At 38.8% G+C, this 7,350-nt stretch overlaps 2 annotated features.

The window, feature by feature from the left end:
* Positions 5,622–6,122: an enhancer, noted in NCBI's record as "H3K4me1 hESC enhancer chr7:94349279-94349779 (GRCh37/hg19 assembly coordinates)". NCBI's record gives its function as "activates a minimal SCP1, AML or CMV promoter by ChIP-STARR-seq in primed H9 embryonic stem cells {active_cell/tissue: H9 hESC(primed)}" and the evidence as "EXISTENCE:reporter gene assay evidence [ECO:0000049][PMID:30033119]".
* Positions 6,123–6,623: an enhancer, noted in NCBI's record as "H3K4me1 hESC enhancer chr7:94348778-94349278 (GRCh37/hg19 assembly coordinates)". NCBI's record gives its function as "activates a minimal SCP1, AML or CMV promoter by ChIP-STARR-seq in primed H9 embryonic stem cells {active_cell/tissue: H9 hESC(primed)}" and the evidence as "EXISTENCE:reporter gene assay evidence [ECO:0000049][PMID:30033119]".

Genomic DNA, 7,350 nt, shown 5'->3' with positions numbered 1-7,350 from the left:
CTGAGCAAGACTGTGAATGGTTTGCATTTACAATTCCTGTGGTAAACAACCTGCAACCTGCTAAGCGTTTTCACTGGGAAGTGTTGCCACAAGGCATGTTAAACAGCCCAACAATTTGCCAGATGTATGTAGGGCAAGCAATTGAACCTACTTGTAAAAAATTTTCACAGTGTTACATTATTCATTATATGGATGATATATTTTGTGCTGTCCCCACTCGAGACATATTACTCTAATGTTATGATCACTTGCAAAATTTGATTTCTTGCACTGGTTTAATTATAGCTCCTGACAAAATTCAGACTACTACTCCTTAATCCTACTTGGGGACCTTAGTAAATGACACTACCATTGTGCCACAGAAAGTAACCATATGTAGGGATCAATTGAAAACATTAAATGACTTTCAAAAATTACTAGGGGACATTAATTGGATATGACCTGCTCTAGGCATTCCTACCTATGCCATGAGTAATCTATTTTCTCTTCTTAGAGGAGATCCTAGTCTCACTAGCCCTTGGCAATTAACAAAAGAAGCTGAGGCAGAGTTACAGCTGACTGAAAAGCAAGTCCACAAAGCTCAAATAAACAGAATAGATCCAGAGAAGACTGTAGATTTGCTAATTTTTTTAACTCAGCATTTACCTACTGGTGTTATTGTTCAAGAGCAAGATCTTGTAGAGTGGCTTTTTCTTCCACATACTAATTCACAGACTCAAACTCCGTATTTGGATCAAATCGCTACTATGATAGGAAATGGGAGAACTTGGATTGTTAAATTACATGGATAAGATCCTGGAAAAATTATTGTCCCTCTCACGAAGGCACAAATACAGCAAGCTTTTATAAATAGTCTTACTTGGCAAACCCATTTAGCTGACTTTGTGAGTATTCTTGATAATCATTTTCCTAAAACGAAACTGTTTCAATTTTTGAAATTGACAATTGGATTCTCCCTAAAATCACTAAATTTAAACCAATTGAAGGCACTGCGAATGTTTTTACAGATGGGTCTAGCAATGGTAAAGCTTCTTATTCTGGCTCAAAAGGTAAAGTTCTTCAGACACCCTATACTTCAGTCAAAAAGGAGAGCTTGTAGCTGTAATTAAGGTATTCACTGTTTTTAATATGCCTATTAATGTGATTTCTGATTCTTCATACGTGGTTCATTCCACACAATTAATTGAAAATGCTCAGTTACGATTTCATGCAGATGAACAACTGATGACTTTATTTACCCAATTGCAAGCAGCAGTCAGGAGTAGAATGCACCCTTTTTACATCACTCACATTAGGGCTCATACACCTCTTCCAGGACCTTTGACTGCAGGGAATCAAATGGCTGATTGCCTAGTTGCTACTGCAATATATAATGCTAGACACTTTCACAATTTAACCCATGTTAATTCCTCTGGTCTCAAATGCAGTTACAGCATTACCTGGAAAAAAGCTAAAGCTACTATCCAGTGATGCCCAACTTGCCAAATGGTACATTACTCATCTTTTACAGGAGGAGTTAATCCTCGAGGACTGGTACCTAATTCTCTTTGCCAAATGGATGTCACACATGTTCCCTCATTTGGGAGACTAGCTTATGTACATGCATGTGAGGACACCTTTTCTCACTTTGTCTGGGCTACATGCCAATCAGGAGAGTCTTCTGCCTGTGTTAAATGTCACCTTTTGCAGTGTTTTGTGGTGACGGGCATTTCAGCTTCTATTAAAAGAGATAATGCCCCAGGCTATACTAGCCAAGCTCTAGCTTCATTTTTCTCTATATGGAACATTAAACACATTACTGGTATCCCATATAATTCTCAAGGACAAGCCACTGTAGAACAAATGAATCTCTCCTTAAAACAGCAATTGCAAAAGCAGAAAGGGGGAAACAGGGACTATGGAACACCCTATATGTAATTGAATCTAGCATTATTGACCTTAAATTTTTTGAGGCTGCCTAAAGGCCAGATGCTATCAGCAGCTGAACAGCATCTACAGAAACCAGCTGCAAAGACAGAAGCAGAACAACTGGTTTGGTGGAGAGATCCAATAACAAAAAGTTGGGAAATAGGTAAAATAATAACTTGGGGTAGAGGTTTTGCTTGTGTTTCACCAGGCCAAAACCGGCAGCCAATTTGGATACCATCAAGACACCTGAAACCTTATCATGAGCCAGATGCCGAAGAAGAGATTCCAGGAGGATCCCAAGGACCCCCTGGTTGCAGCCATGTTGAGACTGATGCTGAGGAGGACTGCAGCTGTCACGAGCAACACCCATTGAACACAGCCACCTACCTGGGGACAGATCAAGAAGCTGTTGCAGATGGCAGAAGAAAACCTGAGGAAAGCGGGACAACCAGTCACAATAAGTAATTTAATGATAGCTATGATAGCGGTGATCACCATTGCCATGAGTATTCCTTCAACAAGGGCTGACACAGAGTGTAATTATACTTATTGGGCATATTTATCAATCTTGGCTGGCAATAATGCCCGGATGTAATCACTCTATGACACAGTTACACATGCTTTCTGATCTCATTTTACCATAATAAATCTGCTCCTATAATTGAGGCATACTGCCCTCAAAGCCTATTTGTAAACAGAATTGGACCTGGCCAGAAATAATGAATGTATTTGTTTTGGAAGATTGCATTGCAGAACAGGCAGAGGTGTTGCACAATGATTCCTATGGAATCATTATTGATTGGTCCCCTAAGGGGATGTTTAGCTTAAATTGCACCTCTCAGTCTGCATACCATGGCCACACTATGTTCAGCTGGTCTGAACAAAATGGTCAGATGGTAGAAATAGTAAGAAATATGGTAAGAGTTCCTATTATCTGGAAACATGACGGTATAGTGGCACCTCAACCTCAAATGATATGGCCCGCTGTAGGAGCTAAACATAAGGATTTGTGGAAACTATTAATGACTCTTAATAAGATCAAAATTTGGGAAAGAATAAAAAAACATCTAGAAGAACACTCTACAAACTTGTCTTTGGATATTCCAAATTTAAAGAACAAATATTAAAAGCATCCCAGGCACACCTGACCTTAATGCCAGGGACTGGAGTGCTTGAAGGAGATGCAGACAGATTAGCAGCTAGTAACGCATTAAAACAGATAAAAACACTTGGAGGCTCTGTGATTTCAGTGATGATTGTGTTATTAATCTGTGTTGTCTTTGTGTAGTCTGCAGATGTGGATCCCAACTCCTGTTAGTAGCTCACTGTCATAAAGCTGCCTTTGCTTTTACTGCCCTGCAAAAACAAGAAGGGGAACATGCTGGGGATAGACCCCCAAATCTGGCCATAAACTGGCCCCAAAACTGGCCATAAACAAAATTTCTGCAGTGCTGTGACATGTTTGTGATGGCCATGACACCCACACTGATGGTTGTGGGTTTACCGGAATGAGGGCAAGGAACACCTGGCCCACCCAGGGCGGAAATCCGCTTAAAGGCATTCCTGAGCCACAAACAATAGCATGAGCAATCTGTGCCTTAAGGACATAATTCCTGCTGCAGATAGCTAGCCAGAGCCCATCCCTTTGTTTCGGCCCATCCCTTCGTTTCCCGTAAGGAATACTTTTAGTTAATCTATAACCTATAGAAACAATGTTTATCACTGGCTTGCTGTCAATAAATATGTGGGTAAATCTCTGTTCGGGGTTCTCAGCTCTGAAGACTGTGAGTCCCCTGATTTCCCACTCCACCCGCTATATTTGTGTGTATGTCTTTAATTCCTCTAGCGCCGCTGGGTTAGGGTCTCCCTGACTGAGCTGTTCTTGGCATCTTCATTAAGGCCAATAACTCTTAGATTTGCCCTTTTGAGACTATTTTCTAAATCTTGTGGCATTCTTTTAAATTCTTTTTTCTTTTATCTCCTCTGTGTATTTTCAAATAGCCTATCTTCAAGCTCACTATTTCTTCTGCTTGATCAATTCTGCCATTGCAAGTCTCTGATGCATTCTTCAGTTTAAGAGTAATTTAATTTTACAATGAACACTGTCTTCTTACTAATTTTATCAATATGTGAAAATTTTTAGCAAAATATTTTTGTTAGTAAAAGTTTAATTTTTCATGATTTAAATGTTTAAGTTTTCTTACCTTTGTTTCATGAGTCCAGTAATTCATTTTTGTTTCCACAGATATTTTTTAGATAAAAATTGTTTAACTAAAAATGTAATGAGAGATATCTTTTGAAATACCTTAATATTTTGAATTCTTATTATCTAGACCAACATGTCAATAGTGCCAAAGTGGAGAAATGATTATTTAAACCTAAATTACGAATCCAATTTGACTTGTCCAAGTTTTCACCTTAATTATGTGGATTTGAATTCTTATATAAAAGTTCTCTTGAACTAAATTTCACAAGAAAGTAATTTTTAATAGACTATCATATATAACATTAAAATTTAGTTATCTTTTCTGTCACACAGAAATCTACAAGATAACATGAATTTTGTAGTGTCTAGGATCTAATCAAATAGTAAAGAGCAAGGTAAAACACAAGTAAATATGCTAGTTTAATTTTCTAAAAGAAATATCATAGATATGTATTAAATAATGATAGAGTATGACATTGAAAGGACAGACTACATTCTCTGTAGTAAATAAATAAAATCATCCAAGTTTTAAATGTTTTTTCACAAACTGTGACCACAACATGCTTGTTCTTAATTTGATATCATTGCATAGATGCTGATAGTGTCCTTGCCTTACTTTCACTGTTTATACAGTAAACTTCTATGCATCCTTCAAATTTTACCTACAGCTGTTAACAAAGACAAATATCCATAGTGATCTTGGCAATACTCAAGGTACAAAAATAACATAATCAAGAACATTGAGATATCCAATTTTCTTTGGTATGTTTGTTCATGTCCCAGATGAAAACAAATAACATGTCTCCTATCTAGAGATTTACTAACTGTATTAATACTTTATAGAAACAAACTTTTTGCTTTGTTACTTTTCTCTATTTGTCATTTTCAATTTTATTGATTTCTGTTCTTATCTTTATAGTTTATTTCTTTTGATTTCCTATATATTTAAGTTTTGCTTTTAGGTTTCTAAGGTAGAAAGTTAGATCCATGTTGTTAAATGTTTTGTGTATAATATGAACATTTAAAACTATAGATTCTTCTCTAACCATTGCTATGGTTCCATGCTGCATATTTTGATATAAAGAATTTTCATTATTTTTCAGTTCAAAATATTTCAGATTTCATGATCTTTTCTGTTTTCTGTTTCTATTTTATGATTTTTCTTTAACCCTACAGTGATTGCAATGGTTTATTTAGAAGAGTATTAATATCCAAATACTTGAGGATTTTCTAGATTTTGTTATTATTTTCCATCTTTAATTAACCATTTTTTCACAGGTAATCAACCATTTAGAGGTATAATCTTTGTACCAAAAAAACTGTGCTCAATTTGTATATACAACTTTAAACAGATACACAACTCTTGTAACAGAACTGCCAGTCAAGATACTGAATATCATCATCTCCCAAATTTCCTCATGGTCCTTTGCAGTTCATCATGCTCTCCCCCATAGACAGTTTAAAATAATTTTTAAAATATACTATGTAAACAATAGTCAAAAGAAATTTGTAGTGGCTATAATATATAATGTAGACCTCAAAAAATAATATCTGAGATAAGGAGAGATATAGGAAGATGAGTCAATGAACATGGAACATTGTCCAAATAGTAGACCATATCATGGGTCATATAAAAAATTTCAGGGGACAGGGACAAGGTGGCCAACTAGAAGCAGCAGTGATCAGAGGCTCCCATTGAAAAGATCCAAAACTGTGTGCGAATCCTGTACCAGCAACCAAGGTATCCTGGTTCTGTCATTAGGACTGAATAGATGGCTGGTGGGTGTGACTCACAGAGAGGAAGGAAGAGTAGTAGTGTGGTGCTGCAGCTCACTTGAGAGCCGCACAGGGCAGGGAGCCCCCGCCCCCAGCTAAGGGAGGTGGTGAGTGAGCATGCTACCCAGCCTGGGAAACCATGCTTTTTCCACGGAACTGTGCAATGCATGGGTCGGAAGATCTCACTTGTGAGCCCATGCCACCGGTGCCTTGGGTTCCAACCACGGAGCTGTGCAGATTCTCAAGAGCTACTCAGTTAGAATCAGCCTAAGCCTGTGGAGTTCACAGGGAGAGGGGTAGCCATCACCACTGCTGTGGCTACCTGCTGTCTAAGCTGTCTGAGCTCCTTGGGGGAGGGGCGGCAGCCAACACTGCCACTGCAGGGCCTCCCTGCAGGAACTCCAACTCCATTCAGGGGGTCAAAGACAGAACTCTGCTCTCCCTGGGTCTGAACCCCTAGGGAGAGGGGTGGCCAATGTCTCCATGGACCAGCAGACTTAAACTTTCCTCCTGCCAGCTCTGAGGAATCCAGGCAGCCCAGACAAGTGGGTTTTCCCCCAGTGCAGCACACCCCCTCCACCAAAGGACAGTCAAAATGCTGTCCTTTAAATGTCCTCCCATTAAATGGGTCCTGTTCCCCATGCCACCCAACTGGGTGAGACCCCCCAAAAGGAGTTGTCAGACATCCCATATGGGAGCATTCTTACTAGCATCAGATTGGTGCCCCTTGAGGTCAGAGATCCCAGAGGAAGGAGCAGGCATCCATCTTTGCTGTTCTCCAGCCTCCTCGAGTGACATCTCTAGGCGCAAGAGCGAACTAAATTAATAGGGACTGAAGCAAACCTCTAGCACACCACAGCAGTCCTACAGAAGAGGGACCTGACTATTGAAAGAAAAACAAAGAGAAAGCAACAACAACAGCATCAACAAGAAAAGTCCCAAAGAAAACCTCAACCAAGGATCAGCAGCCTCAAAGATTGAAACTAGACAAACTCATGAAGATGAAAAAAAAAATCAACAAAAAAACACTGAAAAACCAAAAGGCCAGAGTGCCTCTTCTCCTCCAAATGATCACAACACCTCTCCAGCAAGGGCACAGAACTGGATGGAAGATAAGATGACAAATTGACAGAAGTAGGCTTCAGAAGGTAGTTAATAACAAACTTCACTGAAGTAAAGGAGCATATTCTAACCCAACACAAAGAAGCTAAGAACCTTGATAAAAGGTTAGAGGAGCTGCTAACTAGAATAACCAGTTTGGAGAGGAACATAAATGCGGCACAAGAACTTTGTAAAGCATACACAAGTATCAATAACCAAATTGATTGAGTGGAAGAAAGAATATCAGAGATAGAAGACTACCTTGCTGAAATAAGGCAGGCAGACAAGATTAGAGAAAAAGAATGAAAAGGAATGAACAAAACCTAACCGAGAAATATGGAACTATGTAAAAAACTGAA

This window comes from Homo sapiens, chromosome 7 (genome assembly GCF_000001405.40).
Source record: "Homo sapiens chromosome 7, GRCh38.p14 Primary Assembly".
NCBI classification, from domain to species: domain Eukaryota; kingdom Metazoa; phylum Chordata; class Mammalia; order Primates; family Hominidae; genus Homo; species Homo sapiens.
Note: the sequence above shows the minus strand (reverse complement) of the source record. Positions and strands in the feature narration are given on the sequence as shown.